General features: G+C 38.2%; 1 protein-coding gene and 1 long non-coding RNA gene across 2 annotated transcripts in view; one reads left to right on the forward strand and one right to left on the reverse strand.

Annotated features, from left to right (window-relative positions):
• Window positions 1-3,393: 3,393 nt before the first annotated feature.
• Window positions 3,394-8,596, reverse strand: LOC124903069 (uncharacterized). Its single transcript, XR_007063563.1, has 2 exons — window positions 8,165-8,596; window positions 3,394-7,694 (listed from the first exon to the last, which is right to left on the reverse strand). It is a non-coding gene; the product is annotated as an uncharacterized LOC124903069 (long non-coding RNA).
• Window positions 8,597-8,683: 87 nt separating this feature from the next.
• The window catches only part of PDZRN4 (PDZ domain containing ring finger 4), a 386,426-nt gene continuing 378,145 nt past the window's right edge, over window positions 8,684-16,964 (forward strand). The window contains exons 1-3 of the mRNA NM_001164595.2: window positions 8,684-9,467; window positions 11,822-11,908; window positions 14,445-14,552. Of these exons, the coding sequence (NP_001158067.1) occupies window positions 8,820-9,467; window positions 11,822-11,908; window positions 14,445-14,552 (843 nt within the window). The 5' untranslated portion in view covers window positions 8,684-8,819. The remainder of the gene's footprint in view (window positions 9,468-11,821; window positions 11,909-14,444; window positions 14,553-16,964) is intronic.

A 16,964-nucleotide genomic window follows, 5' to 3' on the forward strand; every position in this document is an offset into this window, starting at 1 on the left:
AACTGGTGTGAGATGGTATGTCGTTGTGGTTTTGATTTGCATTTCTCTGATGGCCAGTGATGATGAGCATTTGTTCATGTGTCTTTTGTCTGCATAAGTGTCTTCTTTTGAGAAGTATCTGTTCATATTCTTTGCCCACTTGTTGATGGGGTTGTTTGTTTTTTTCTTGTAAATTTGTTTGAGTTCATTGTAGATTCTGGATATTAGCCCTTTGTCTGATGAGCAGGTTGCAAAAATTTTCTCCCATTCTGTAGGTTGCCTGTTCACTCTGATGGTAGTTTCTTTTGCTGTGCAGAAGCTCTTTAGTTTAATTAGATCCCATTTGTCAATTTTTGCTTTTGTTGCCATTGCTTTTTGTGTTTTAGACATGAAGTCCTTGCCCATGCCTATGTCCTGAATGGTATTGCCTAGAGTTTCTTCTAGGGTTTTTATGGTTTTAAGTCTAACATATAAGTCTTTAATCCATCTTGAATTAATTTTTGTATAAGGTGTAAGGAAGGGATCCAGTTTCAGCTTTCTACGTATGGCTAGCCAGTTTTGCCAGCACCATTTATTAAATCGGGAATCCTTTCCCCATTGCTTGTTTTTCTCAGGTTTGTCAAAGATCAGATAGTTGTAGATATGTGGCATTATTTCTGAGGGCTCTGTTCTGTTCCATTGGTCTATATCTCTGTTTTGGTACCAGTACCATGCTGTTTTGGTTACTGTAGCCTTGTAGTATAGTTTGAAGTCAGGTAGTGTGATGCCTCCAGCTTTGTTCTTTTGGCTTAGGATTGACTTGGCAATGCGGGCCCTTTTTTGGTTCCATATGAACTTTAAAGTAGTTTTTTCCAATTCTGTGAAGAAAGTCATTGGTAGTTTGATGGAGATGGCATTGAATCTATAAATTACCTTGGACAGTATGGCCTTTTTCACGATATTGATTCTTCCTACCCATGAGCATGGAATATTCTTCCATTTGTTTGTATCCTCTTTTATTTCATTGAGCGGTGGTTTGTAGTTCTCCTTGAAGAGGTCCTTCACATCCCTTGTAAGTTGAATTCCTAGGTATTTTATTGTCTTTGAGGCAATTGTGAATGGGAGTTCACTCATGATTTGGCTCTCTGTCTGTTATTGGTGTATAAGAATGCTTGTGATTTCTGCACATAGATTTTGTATTCTGAGACTTTGCTGAAGTTGCCTATCAGCTTAAGGAGATTTTGGACTGAGACAATGGGGTTTTCTAGATATACAGTCATGTCATCTGCAAACAGGGACAATTTGAAATCCTCTTTTCCTAATTAAATACCCTTTATTTCCTTCTCCTGCCTGATTGCCCTGGCCAGAACTTCCAACACTATGTTGAATAGGAGTGGTGAGAGAGGGTATCCCTGTCTTGTGCCAGTTTTCAAAGGAATGCTTCCAGTTTTTGCCCATTCAGTATGATATTGGCTGTGGGTTTGTCATAGATAGCTCTTATTATTTTGAAATACGTCCCATCAATACCTAATTTATTGAGAGTTTTTAGCATGAAGGGTTGTTGAATTTTGTCAAAGGCCTTTTCTGCATCTATTGAGATAATCATGTGGTTTTTGTCTTTGGTTCTGTTTATATGCTGGATTACATTTATTGATTTGCATATATTGAACCAGCCTTGCATCCCAGGGATGAAGCCCACTTGATCATGGTGGATAAGCTTTTTGATGTGCTGCTGGATTCGGTTTGCCAGTATTTCATTGAGGATTTTTGCATCAATGTTCATCAGGGATATTGGTCTAAAATTCTCTTTTTTGTTTGTGTCTCTGCCCGGCTTTGGTATCAGGATGATGCTGGCCTCATAAAATGAATTAGGGAGGATTCCCTCTTTTTCTATTGATTGGAATAGTTTCAGAAGGAATGGTACCAGCTCCTCCTTGTACCTCTGGTAGAATTCGGCTGTGAATCCATCTGGTCCTGGACTTTTTTTGGTTGGTAAGCTATTAATTATTGCCTTAATTTCAGAGCCTGTTACTGGTCTATTCAGAGATTCAACTTCTTCCTGGTTAGTCTTTGGAGGGTGTATGTGTCGAGGAATTTATCCATTTCTTCTAGATTTTCTAGTTTATTTGCATAGAGGTGTTTATGGTATTCTCTGATGGTAGCTTGTATTTCTGTGGGATTGGTGGTGATATCCCTTTTTTCATTTTTTTTTTTTGAGTCTATTTGATTCTTCATTGTTTTCTTCTTTATTAGTCTTGCTAGTGGTCTATGAATTTTGTTGATCTTTTCAAAAAACCAGCTCCTGGATTCATTGATTTTTTGAAGGGTTTTTGTATCTCTATTTCCTTCAGTTCTGCTCTGATTTTAGTTATTTCTTGCCTTCTGGTAGCTTTTGAATGTGTTTGCTCTTGCTTCTCTAGTTCTTTTAATTGTGATGTTAGGGTGTCAATTTTAGATCTTTCCTGCTTTCTCTTGTGGGCATTTAGTGCTATAAATTTCCCTCTACACATGCTTTGAATGTGTCCCAGAGATTCTGGTATGTTGTGTCTTTGTTCTCGTTGGTTTCAAAGAACATCTTTATTTCTACCTTCATTTCGTTATGTACCCCATAGTCATTCAGGAGCAGGTTGTTCAGTTTCCATGTAGTTGAGCAGTTTTGAGTGAGTTTCTTGATCCTGATCAATGAGACAGAAGGTTAGCAAGGATATCCAGGAACTGAACTCAGCTCTGCACCAAGCGGACCTAATAGACATCTACAGAACTCTCCACCCCAAATCAACAGAATATACATTCTTTTCAGCACCACACCACACCTATTCCAAAGTTGACCTCATAGTTGGAAGTAAAGCTTTCCTCAGCAAATGTAAAAGAACAGAAATTATAACAAGCTGTCCCTCAGACCACAGTTTATTTATTCTTTCAAGATTTCCGGGAGGTAGGATGATACAGGTGTCAATGATTTCATTTTATAGATGAGATTATACTGAAATTAAATAATTTATGTCAAATCTATGGCATGGCAGAACAAGTCATGGCAAAAGCATCTCTTTGTTTCTTAGACATCGTTCTAGTCAACAGAGTTTCCATGTGGAATTTCCAGTATCCATTATTTTAAAAAATTATATTTTCATGTAATAAATTATTAATATATAATATTAATTATGTCTAGATTTCCTTTGAGTTTGGGATAAACGAGCAAACAAGTGGCTTCAGAAGCCCAAAGAAATACTGATGGTAAATGAGATCAGTGATATTTTTCCTGGTTTTGTCTTCAAACCTTAGTTACATTGGTTTTAGATTGTGGTTTCCACATCACTGTAATAAAAAGTAAAAAATGACAATTGACAAAATAATTTCTTTTCTTCCACTAAGCAAGAAGCTGACTTAATGAGCTCACATCTCAAAATTCTGTGAAAATTGCTGTAATTTTGCAGAAACATCCAGAAAAATATTACTATAGAAAATTTTTATTGAACGAAGCACAAAGTAAGAGTTTGACCGAAATATATAGTGATTGATTTATTAAGACAAAACTTAAAGAACATACGCAATTGGTTTATTACATAGAAAACTTTCAGCTATTTAAGACCAGTTATGTGGAACAAAATGGTCTAAAATAGCCATATTGGTTATTGGTATTGCATAGAACAGTTAAACGATATTCTCATTTACATAAACTATTCAAAGGCCTCTAATAAACATGACCTTGGAACTTCCCTCATCAGAGGAAGCAAAACAAAAAGAGAGCTTTTAAACGATGGAATCAAATGAATGCAATTACAGAGTCCATTCACATATTTCATTCGATAGCATATTTTATTCTAAAATAACCCCATGGCAAGTGTAAGAAAAACAAGCCAATACAATATAGCGTTTAAGAGTCTGAGTTCTTTAGTGAGGCTGATCTTAGTTTAAGCCTAGGATCTGCCACTTTTGATTTGTGTGAACTTGGTCAAGTTATGGGAACAATAAAAGTACCCACTCAAAATCGTCATTGGAAGATTTGAATGAGATTGTGTATGTAGGGAATGTAGTGCTGTGGCTGTCACATAGTAAGAGTTATTATCTATTAGCTTGTGGTTGTTTTTTATACCATCTCTCTTTGTCAGTGACTATGACCCACAAGATATAACACAAAATTAAAGTTAACTAAATGCAGAATTTAATCTATTTTTCTCTATAAACCATCTCTCACAATAGTCCCTTCTTAAAAAGAATAATAGTACCCTTCCTAATGTCTGGGTGACTTTGGAAGAATCAGTCTGTAATCTAATTTTAAGTTGCCACAATTTTTAATTTAATACCTCACTTTAATTTGATTTTCTTCAAATTCCTCATTCTGCTGTGTCTGATAATTCATTCCTGCAGAGACTGCACAATTATTGTAAATTATTTACTCAATTTTGGTGTACATAATTGTTTTATTCATATTACTTTATTCCCCTTAAAAATGGCATTCTGTACTGTCATAATACCCCTTCCAACTACATTTTGCCAAAGACAGCAGGAAAGCAAGATAATAGCAAATAACTCCTAATGGATTATGTGTCAACAGACAGGAATTATAAGAATTGATACTGCTCTGTGTTCTCAGGATTTAACTGATTATGTATAATTTGGAGTGAAACATATCCAAAATGTATCACTTCTCTAACATAATATATTATCAGCCTACTTTTGTAAAATAAAAAAAATCTGCCTCATTTTTAATAAACTTTCAACTAACTCAACTTCAAAGTATCTTTTATTGTTCTTATCAAGTTTGGAATTTTTCTGTACTGTCAAAGTGACCTCGTTATTATCTCATGCATTACAAACATAGTCATTTATGCTACTAGGTGCAAATCTGATCCCACATTATGATGGAAAAATTATCAAGATAAGAACAAAGTCCATTAACTTCAACACAAATGAATGTATTCCACAGGAAATATTTTGACCTAAAGTGGCTAAGTACTTTTGCCTCAGCTACCAGAGTAATTTAGTATAGTTACAGATTACATTTAGAGCACTTGGGATAATTATAGAAATAGTACTAATTTATGATAAATGACCAGGGAATTGAGAAAAGAAAAACATAGATGATGAAATTTTCTTTATGAGAAAGTTTATATAATAGAGAATTGAAAAACTATTGTTATATATAAAGTACTAACTTATGCTATATGAACACATATAAAATAAATGTTTAAGGTCCTATTCTTTGAAAAATTCCCCCAACCTTTCCAACTTCATGGCCCTTAATTAAATAAATAAAACATGAAAAAGAGTCACAAATGAGTTGGTTTTGACAAAGCATTATCTGTGCATGAGGTGAAAAAAATCTTTCTCTTTCACATTTTACCTCTCCATTCATCATTTTTGAGTCTTAGAATACAGTATTTTATTTTGGGACTTTTAGCATTTGACTCAACAACCAATACTCCTAGATTCATTCTTGGAAGTAGGCATGACTCAGAGCTGGGATGGAACCCTGCCTCTTCTCACTGGAAACACCCAAGGCACATCCCAGTTTCATTACTGCACTAGGAATTGGCCCAAATAATTTAGCAACTTAATGTTTTAATCTCTTTTCATGAATATATGACTGCTGATAGCAGATGAAAGCAAAAACTAGTTACTAAGCTGAAAATACTCAACCAACTACTGATTGCTTAAAGATTTTATTTTATTTATTTATTTTTTCCTTGAGGTGGAGTTTCACTCTTGTTGCCCAGGCTGGAGTGCAATGATGTGATCTCGGCTCACTGCAACCTCCGCCTCCCAGGTTCAAGCGATTCTCCTGCCTCAGCCTCCTGAGTAGCTGGGATTACAGGCACCTGCCACCATGCCTGGCTAATTATTTTTAATAAATTTTTAGTAGAGATGGGGTTTCACCAAGTTGGCCAGGCTGGTTTCGAAGTCTCAGCCTCAAGTGATCCACCTGCCTCGGCCTCCCAAACTGCTGCTTAAAGATAACTTGAATCAAGCCATGATTCTTGGCTTGGAAATAAGCTAAGTGAATTCATAGTCTTTCCTTTGTTTCTTGGCTGGCAAAGCACAATCTCAGCTCCAGGCTGAACAAAAGGTTATGAGAAATGTAAAAGGCTTGGTTTTGGCTACAACGCACAACACAGCTAGAAGTTGGCCTTGCCCAACAAGAAGACAGTGGGTTTCCTTTCAGCTCTTCCCCAAGTGTTAGTATTCAGCCTGCAATTTTCACTATCCAGGGATGTTTAGATGATAGACAATTATGATCAGTGAAAACATAAGAGTATGCCCAAGCTAAAGATGCAAGGTGTTAATTTGTCTAATTTGCCAAAAAGCATCTAAATATTACTGGGTCTGTTTTGCTGAAATATTTGTGCATATATTAAACTCATTTAAAGTGCTTTCTTTGTTTACCCAAGCTAATTACTTCCATTTAATTAGGCTCCATATTCCTAGCTCACTCAAGCTTTTCACTGATATTACAATTTTGCTAATATGTAGAAAAATATTTTACAGTCTGGGAAGTGAAACGAGACTATCTGACTCAACTGATGTCACAGACTTATGCCACAATGTTTCCAGATGGCAAAAGTTTATGAGGTTCACTTGGGTGTGTCCATTCTCTTAGAGTTCAATTCTTGTCATGTTTTTTCTTTATACTTAGCTCTTTTGGAAATGCTTAGGCTTTTATTTTATTACGTAAAAGATTTTCCTGTTCTGTTTGGCCTATTTCATTACTCAGTTTCACTTTACATGCCCTCATTTTGGAACTTCCTATTCTCTGTGGACAACGTTTTTGACATCTGCTTTACTTTAATAATAAAAATGTTATGCATCCTGGAATTAGTCATAACATAATTTGCTCATGCTCCTTACTTTTGCTATAGGAATTGCATGGGTATACCAAGGATATCATATGAACTTTTTTTTTTTCCAAGTAACTGAAGTCTCATGGTCCTAACAGTCTCATGTCTCAAAATAATATTTTTGGATTCCATCTCTTCTCTCTCTTTTTAAAAATGCTGTCAGTGTCATTGTGTTTACTGTAAAACCAATAAATGTCAAGCTATAGCTATAACTGTATATGCATGGTTATAATTATAAATGTTTATAGCTGTAAGTCACAACTTTTTCTATAGCTAAAAAAAGGAATAGATTTCTCCTGCCCAGAAGTATTTTAATAAATTCTAGAACATGTATTTCCAGTTTATGCAATTCACAAAAATATTTTCATGCTGTTAATATTAAATGATTTCTTATTTAATCAGTAATTCATTGTTTGCTTATTTATTTGTAGAAAGACAGGTCGAAAGAGGGGGGAAATTTGGAACATAGGGGCAAATGTTACTTTATCACATATGAATCTATATATATTAAATGAGAAATATAGCATCTTATTTTGAAAAAGAGTTTAAAAGCATATCAAACATCTAGCACACCAATCATCACTGGTTATTGAACAACTAACAAAATCTCATCTTTCAAACAGCAAGAAGGCTCAGAAGGTTATTAGCCTCTATTATTAGTCTTTGCTAATTCTTCAGTTAGCTCCAAGGATTTAAAAGACAAAGTCTGGAGCTGTTCTCATCAATTCCAACTGATGCCATTTGGTGTCATAGAGAATTACAAGCTTTCCAGGAACAAGGCTCAACTGGCAGCAAGGAATCATCAATGATTAATTTATAAAACCCACCCAAGCATCTGGTGGCAGCTTCAGGATAATGGCAGTAAGTGATATGCAGCCAGGTGACAGGATCTCTGCATTCCTAAGGTTCAGAAGATGGTAAAGGAAGTGGAGTAAGAAGGGTTTGGAATGACGCCCTACTGCGTGTTTTCAGGACGGCTTGTCATGCTACACAATTTGAGGAGTCAAACTAGGAGGGGAGGCAATTTGGATCCAAAGGGTTCATTCAGGGTAAGTAGAAGGAAGCAGCCACTAAGATTTTATTTATATGTTATTTCACTGCTTTCTTTCATCATCCTTCCCTTTAATTTTCCCTTCCAGGTTCCCAAATGATCACATTCCCGTCCCCAGTAGTAAAACGCCCGTGGAAGTAGAAGATGGATGCTGTGGCAACTGAACCTGGAGTCAGACTCAGAATCCCAGCTTCCTCACTCGGGAGGAGGCCTTGCATGGCTGTTCATGGGCTCCCTAAGAAGGCAGTGTCCTGAGGCGGGCCCTTGACTTTTTCCCCATCTTTGCTGCTAGGTCAAGGATCGCGCCATTCTAACTCACCTGATTTCTGGATCACGGTTTGAGAAGCCTGGCCCTGTGGATTTCCTAGTGTTATTTTCCTTATAGTGATTTCCTAAGGTCACAGTTTCCTAACTTCTGATTTTGTAGTTTTGATGTGAAAGAACAAAAGTGCTTCGATTTCAAACATATTGGAGATAGACTCGACGCCGGGCGGGCCATGGGCATTCAGCGGAAAACCAGACAGACAAAAAGATTCTGCTCTCCCGAAGCTTACATTGTGGTGAATTTAAAAGTTGTTTCTCAACATTAGCGCTTTACCCATCAGCAGCCCTGCCCAGGGCGAGGCGCCTCGATGCTTGAAGTTCACTGTTCAGGCGAAGGAGAACACAGTGTTCCCAAGGACCATTGTAAGCTGGGCGGCCAAAATTTGAAAGAACATAAATCGCAGGGCAACGAAGGAGGCGGGGGTCTCTGGAGGTTACTTCTATTAGCGTCAATACGGGCGAAATCAGGGGACCTAGCAGGAGCCTGAAAACTTCAAGCCAAACAAACAGTGAGATCACACCTCCCACCCGCCACCTCCCTCCACTGCCGCCGCCGCGAGACGGCTGCCCCGGGGGTGGCCCGGGGAAGGCAGGGGGGCTCGGAGAAGACGGACTCTGCTTTCGCTCCCCCTTTCTTCCCCATCCCTAACATGGGCTTTGCCCTGGAGCGCTTCGCAGAAGCCGTGGACCCGGCTCTGGAGTGCAAACTGTGCGGCCAGGTGCTTGAAGAGCCCCTGTGCACGCCGTGCGGGCACGTCTTCTGCGCCAGCTGCCTGTTGCCCTGGGCGGTGCGGAGGCGCCGGTGCCCGCTGCAGTGCCAGCCCTTGGCGCCCGGCGAGCTGTACCGGGTGCTGCCGCTGCGCAGCCTCATCCAGAAGCTGCGAGTCCAGTGCGACTACCGCGCCCGCGGCTGCGGCCACTCGGTCAGGCTGCACGAGCTGGAGGCGCACGTCGAGCACTGCGACTTCGGCCCTGCCCGCCGGCTCCGCAGCCGCGGGGGCTGCGCTTCGGGGCTGGGCGGTGGTGAGGTGCCCGCGCGGGGGGGCTGCGGTCCGACACCCAGGGCTGGCCGGGGCGGGGGCGCGCGCGGGGGGCCGCCGGGCGGCCGCTGGGGCCGCGGGCGGGGACCCGGGCCTCGGGTCCTCGCCTGGAGGCGGCGCGAGAAGGCGCTGCTGGCGCAGCTCTGGGCGCTGCAGGGCGAGGTGCAGCTCACGGCGCGCAGGTACCAGGAGAAGTTCACCCAATACATGGCTCACGTCCGCAACTTCGTCGGCGACCTCGGTGGCGGCCACCGCAGGGTAAGCAAAGGGGGGTGGGCACCGCGGGCATGGTCGATTGGGGTGGGAAAAGGAGCGGTTCTTTCTGACGCTTCAGGATTCCTTTGGAATTGGGCATCCTTCCTCACTATGCAGCAGGAAACATCCACACCCTGATCATACTTTCCTGTCATTATCTTACGAATGGATTGGCGTCGAAGTTAAGGATTGTCCCTTTTCTGATTATATTACGATTGGAAAGAGTTAAACAGATTCGATTCTAACTTTCCCCCGGGAAAGTAGGAATTGTGAAAACTCATTTTCCATCCAGACTCTCGTTTTCCATCTTTCACCCTCCTGCCCACCGTCTCTGCCTATTTTTTGAGCACTTGTCCCGTGCCTGAAGCAAATCCGAGAAGGAAAGACAGAAAGCGAAGACTTTCCCGGCCCAGCCTTTCCTCTCCCGCGGCCACCAGCATCCCCGCGGCCCTGGCAGCCGCGCACGCACACCTGGGACTGGTGTCAGCGTTGATGACACTTGCGCTGCCACTGCCTGAATCAACTGCCTTCTATTAAGTTGGGGACTGTGAGGCACGTTGGGGCCAGGACAGCCTCAGGAGTTGAGAGATGGGGTTTCTTAGACTTGCAGAGTTCATTTCATCACTCTGACTTTCCCTAAATAAGCCTTCCTTGCCTCGGGATCTCATTATTGGTGGAGAGAGAGAGAGAGATTGAGATTGTGTGTGTGCGACCTGGGAAGTCCAGTCCGAGAACCTCCATCTGTGGTCAGACCGGCCCTGCGAGCCCCCAGGCAGCGGTTGTTTCCCTTCTTTGTCTAAGCTGCTGGCCCCGAACTGCGCTCCTGGTCCTCCCGCCGGCTTTCATACCGAATAAACAAGCCTCTTTGCAGCATCCCGTGTGAAGAGGCTTGTTTATAAAGCTGTTACTTCTCTCCTGGAGGACTTCTGCACAGTGTCTGACATTGTTGGTCGCTGCCATGGTGAGCAGGGATTTAGCAGAATTTGCGCACCATTCAAGGAGCTGTTTTCATTCTTCAGCACTCCCGGGGAGGAGCAACCCAGAAAGATTCCCATTTGGGACTGGCTGCTCCACACTGCCTCTAACTCAGGCACTGAGTTTAGAAGCGCCCGTCTTGAACGTAAAAGAGAAAATTGAAGTGAGAGGGACTAAAATGTTTCTACCTTGATGAATGGAAGCACGTTGTGTATTAAACGACCGGTTTCAAGGAGTATTTCTCTAGTTCATATATGCATATACATATACGCATATATACAGGTAAATTTACAAAACGGGAGGACCCGGGGAAAAGCACAGATAGAAGCTTTGTATTACCAGTCCAGGTTTCAAGGTCGTAGGAAACCAATGGTTGAAGGAAAGGAGGAACAGCTAGAATAATATTACAGAAAAGTCCATGCAACAAGTCAAGCTATGATTCTGAGAAGTGAGAAAAACTGCCCATGATTTGCAGACTAGCCAAAACCTTCTATGTGTTCCTCAGAAGTGTTTTTCTACTACCAGTAGGGGCTGCTCTGCGCATTGCCTGGGAAAAGCTCCTGGGAAAATATCTTGATGCTGATAGCAGTGATGATGATGCATATGTTCTGAATGTTATCATTCAGAAATAGTTTCCAAGTAAAGGTTAATAACATCTACAACCATGAATAAACCCACCTAGTCCAGCACTAATTCATCCTATGTGTAAGTTAGTCTTTACTAATAAACATTGTAGCTATAATTCATATTTGTTTTACTATTATTTGGCCAGCAGGAAAAAATACATACTACTTTACCTAGCACAAACCCTTATTTTTTTATTCTGCAGGAATTATGCAAAACCAAATAGGAATATTATTTAAAATTAGGACTACAGTAGCCTAACAGATCCTGCATTACAACAGCAACATGAATGTTATGACTATAATTTATAAATAGTTCCAGTGTTTCTTAAATTCCTTAAGACTTTACAAAATAAAAATTTTACACTATTGATAATTTATATTTTACTTTTCTGTAATGGAGGGAAAAATAAAGATACCTCCAAGGTTTAACCAGAAATCTGTTTTCAATTGCAGTGAAATCAGATTTAGATACTGCATTAGGATAAAAGAGCTTCCTGTCTCAAAATGCAAAGCCATTTAGTAATTTTTGAAAATAGGGCTTTTTCCCCTCACATGCACAGTTGTTCTTTTTCAAATACATACTTGCAAAGTAAGTATAGGAAAATGTCAACCTTCTGCCACATTCAACCATCCTTAATTTTAAAGTTTTCCTCTTTTCACATGTCAGTTAACTTACAGTACATAAAAACTTATTGTAGGATTTATTTTTCTTTTATATTTTTACCTGGTTAAGTCATTTTATACATTTTTTTCTAGGATGGAGAGCATAAGCCATTCACTATTGTGTTAGAAAGAGAAAATGACACTTTGGGATTCAATATTATAGGAGGTCGACCAAATCAGGTAAAACACCTTGTTAATGCATTACTCGTTACTTATAAAATAAGCATTAATAAGCATTACTCATTGCTTATAAAATAATAGAGGACTTAGCTTTTGTTTGTGGATTTTGAGTAAGAAAAACAAGTGGTTTAATCTTTAAAATTATACTTGTGATCAAATATCAGATTTCTTAATGCAAATATTCCAGTACATACCCAGATTTTATTTATTTATTTATTTATTTATTTATTTATTTATTTATTTTGTTTGTTTGTTTGAGACAGAGTCTTGCTCTGTTGCCCAGGCTAGAGTGCAGTGGCACGATCTCAGCTCACTGCAACCTCTTCCTCCTGGGTTCAAGCAATTCTCCTGCCTCAGCCTCCCAAATAGCTGGGATTACAGGCTCCTGCCACCACACCCGGCTAATTTTTTGTATTTTTAGTAGAGACAGGGTTTCACATGTTGGCCAGGCTCGTTTTGAACTCCTCACCCCAAGTGATCCACCTCACGGTCTCCCAAAGTGCTAGGATTACAGGTGTGAGCCACCATGCCTGGCTCTGATTTTATTATTTTTTAATTTTTAAAAATTATTTTCTTTTTGAGTTGGAGTATCACTCTGCAGCCCAGGCTGGAGTGCAGTAGCGTGATCTCAGCTCAATGCAACCACTGCCTCTGGTTCAATTGATTCTCCTGCCTCAACCACCCAAGTAGCTGGGATTATAGGCGTGTGCCACCACGCCCAGCTAATTTTTGTATTTGTAGCAGAGAAAATACAAAATGTTGGCAAAGCTGGTCTCGAACTCCTAATCTCAAGTGATCCACCTCCCTCACCTCCCAAAGTGCTGGGATTACAGGCTTGAGCCACTGCACCTGGCCTTTATTTTTGAGAAAAACAAAAAACAACAGCTAGCAAACTTGGTTCTCTTTGCTACTTTAAAAGAAGAAAAGGAAAGTACATTTCACATTTTATCTAAATTTTATTGTCCTTTTGGCAAATTTCTTGAATAAACCTATTTCACAATACCATGTGTAGGCAATTTCTATTTGATAATATTAGGCAATTGTATTGCCTGCTTAAACCTATTTATTAAGTGCAATTACTCAGTTTGAAGATGCTAATACAGACTAGGAAGAAAATTATATTGAATGAATGAATGAACAGTTGAAACAAGGGATGATTGATTTCAATAGGAAGTACCATGTTAAAGAAAAACAGTTGATTAGAAATATTTTTGGCTCCCCAAACCGAGTTCTTTGTTTGATTGCATGAATAATATTCTTCATGTTGATGTCAATTGTTTTCAAAATGCATATTTTAAACTTATAGAATATACTGTAGTTGCAAAGTTCTTTTATATCTTTGAATTCCTGTGTCAACTTAATTTTCACCGTAACTGGAAAAAGGTGGTTAAGTTTTAAAAAATGATGTTCTTTAATTTTTCTCAATAAACTGCCATGAAATTTTTGCATCCTGCATTGCAGATGTTGTACAAGGAAACTGTCTTAGTGTTGTTGGCCATATGCTCTGTTTAGGTAAGGATGGCAGTGACATATTTCTTCCTTGTTTTTAGTATTTTGAAAACTTAGCAACTAATGACTGCTGTGCTTCTCTTTTTAAAACAGTCCTCATTTATTAAGATGAAAGCCTTTTCATCATAGCATTTTCGTTATCATTTTCCCTAAGGAATATTTTTATAGATTCTATTTTGGTATTTGACATTTAGATGACATCGGGCCTTTTTAAAAAGTCTCTTAAAATTCATGATAAGGACAGCTAAAGAGAAATAATTTTATTTAACCTGTCATGAAGTCAAATGACATTTAAAATTATATAATGTATTATTATAGGATGTTGGATATTTTCCCCTAAATAAGCTTTGACTTCTTGTGACTGGCTAAAATGTCCTATTTTTACCATATTGGCTATGTTTGAGGTTTAACTAATCATGAGTCAGACTGCACCTGGAAATATGTAACGATGAGTTTGCATGGGTTCCCTTTTGCATAGGTTCCCTTGCAGTTTAGATGTGATCTTTTGGGATTTTACACTTGAGTAAGCTACCAGTGTCTCTTGTGAATAGACACAACTAGAGCTATGTTTCTAAATCTGGCACATCAAAAAGCTAAATTACATTTCTAAACTCTACCACATCTCAAACCAGTTATACAGTGGGAACCAGATATATGTTTTTTTCCTTCTTTAACCTTATCACCCTTTTACTTGCTGTCTCTCTTTAGAAGTGAGATGTTTTATAAATAATACTTAAAAGCCAGTTTATTTCACCTTGTACATGCCCTTTCCCATAGCTTTTTTATGTGAACTCAAAAATGTGAAGTAAATAGATAATCTTGTCAGAGACCCTGGACTCATTCATTAAAACTGCCACCTTGATTAATGACTAGTTGGTGTTAAGTAAGTTAAAATTCTGTTCCAAATCCCCAGCTAAGAGAGTTGCAGGTTTACAGAGGATTGGTAATGTTACATTTGGTAAATTGTCCCTAATAATATTTAAATTTTGCTTACATCTTTCTTCTGCTAATGATTTTTTAAAAATAGAATAATCAGGAAGGAACATCGACTGAAGGAATTTACGTTTCAAAAATTTTAGAAAATGGACCTGCTGACAGAGCAGATGGCCTGGAGATTCATGACAAAATCATGGAGGTAAGACAATGATAAAACATGTATATGATCCATGCAAGAAAGATTGGGATATTTTAAGTTTTCAAATTTACCACTTTACCTTGGTGTGGTGCTTATTAGAATATACATTCTTAGTAGCAGTAAAGGCATTATCATTTTTACTTTCTTACAAAAAATGTAAAAGTCACTGGGAGAGGTGGCTCATGCCTATAATCCCAGCACTTTTGGTGGCTGAGGCAGGAGCATCACGTGAGCTTAGGAGTTCGAGACCTGACTGGGCAACATTGTGAGACTTCATCTCTACCAAAAAACAAAACAAAAAAATTAGCTGGGCATGGTGGCACATACCTATGGTCCCAGCTACTCAGGAGGCTGAGGTGGGTGGATCACTCGATGTTAAACCCAGGAGGTCAAGGCTGTGGTGAGCTGTGTGTAGGCCACTGCTCTCTAGCCTAGGCAACAGAGCAAGACGCTGCCTCCAAAAAGAAGTAAAACTCTATTATGATTCTATATAATTCGTTAGATATTGTGATGAAAGAATAAAATGCCTGAAGTTTTCAAATGTGTTAATGAATACCTCTGTTTTAATAACCTGTGTTTCCCATGAACTATGATGTCACTTGCTTGATTATTAAAGGATTAATTATTATAACATTTCAAAAAAGGATGATAAATCTCTGTTGAGGAACATTTCTGATGAGGAACTATGATTATATTTTAAATTTGTAATTAATATTTTATATGTAGAGTTTGGAATAAATTATACAATACTTTTAATATTTCTTGGTGTAATATGGCTACCTTGTTCCTGTCATTATCTTTTATATGAAAGAAAAAGAGAAATACCTTTTTTTCTCTTTGTTGTGAAAACCTGGTGAGAACTCTTTGTATGTTTTAACTGTATTGTTGTATTCGGGGGTGATAAAGTGAGCACCTATATGCTAGTAAAATTGGGTTATGTTAATGAAATTTTATGTCCCTGCCATCTGCCATCTCTGTCCTTTTGACATTTTATTAACTGGTTAAGATAATATTACTTTTTGTTGCCAAAAATGGTTAAGTTACTTTTATCAGTGAGTTTATTTCCAATGGATTAGTGAAGCTATAAATAGGAATTTGGAAGGTTTACTTGACTCCACTATTGTTTTTAAAAATTCTGTTCACTCTAGGCTATATAATCACTAGTGCTATCTCTCTGAATACTTATATAAACTATCAGAATGGAGGCAGATTTTCTATATTAAATTTTAAATAAAGTTTTAGCTTTTCATTCATCCTCTGTGCACTAAACAAAGTTGAATTTTTAATGAATCGACATAGAGTAAGAGTGAAGAATATAGAAGACCCAATAGTTTGCTGTTTTGGGAAAAAAGAACACAACATTTATAAATTAGCCGACTACAAAATTTAGAAAAAAAAGAAGAGTTATCTTTTGCCAAAAAAAAAACTTTGATTTATATCTAAAGAGGTCTCTTGTATCAAGATTTTTATTCTTCCAGTTTTGTTGCCGAGAAAGTGCAGACCTACTTTTGCTGTTGCTATCCAGTTCATCTTGACAATTTGTCTAGTGGAAACATTCACATGCTGTAGCTTCTAAAGTTAGAATGTGCACAGTATGATCTAAAGGGCAACATACTTTAAACAGAAGATTGTCCCTATTACTTTCTGCATTATCTCAAAAACATATTAAGTTGTCCAGTTACCAATGGAAAATAAATTCCTACATTTGATATTATTAGAAGAACTGATGGAACTGAATACATATATTGTTACACCCACACAAACACATAGACACAACAGAAATACGTATTGGCAATTTAAAAAATAACTTATTCTAGCTAGATGACAATATTATGTATGCTTCATTAATGTTACATTAGAAAAGAAAAAGAATTTTTTATATTGTCATACAACAATTTGGTTACAAACCTACTGTTTTTTTTAAAGAGGTAATTTTATAAAACTATGGTTGAAAATCAAGTGCATCTAGACACCTACATAGTACTGTTACTAATATATGTCAGATTAACCTTATTTAAACCCTGTAAGATAAAAAGTAAGGAGGTCAACCACAGAAATTCAAATGAAATTTAACTAGCTGCGGTATTATTATTCACTTTCATTTGCATATATTAGCAGTTAATGACTAGAGCTTGAAATTTGTCTCAATGATATAGATTTTTCAATGTGTCTTTTATACCAGGGTACATTGATTTTATGTATATATGCTATAGTTGTAGAATGGATCAATGTGACCACATTTGCAGTTAAGAAATGGGTTAGATGAGGTGCATATTTCTAGAATGTTGTGTGTTAAATAGCATGAAATATTTTAGAAAGAAGATTATTAGAAATAAATTGCTCTTGCTTAGTTGTTCAGTGATGCTATCGGCTTTTTGAGTGAATAGATATTTGTGTGACTTTAATATCTAG

This window comes from Homo sapiens, chromosome 12 (assembly GCF_000001405.40).
Source record: "Homo sapiens chromosome 12, GRCh38.p14 Primary Assembly".
Lineage (NCBI taxonomy): Eukaryota > Metazoa > Chordata > Mammalia > Primates > Hominidae > Homo > Homo sapiens.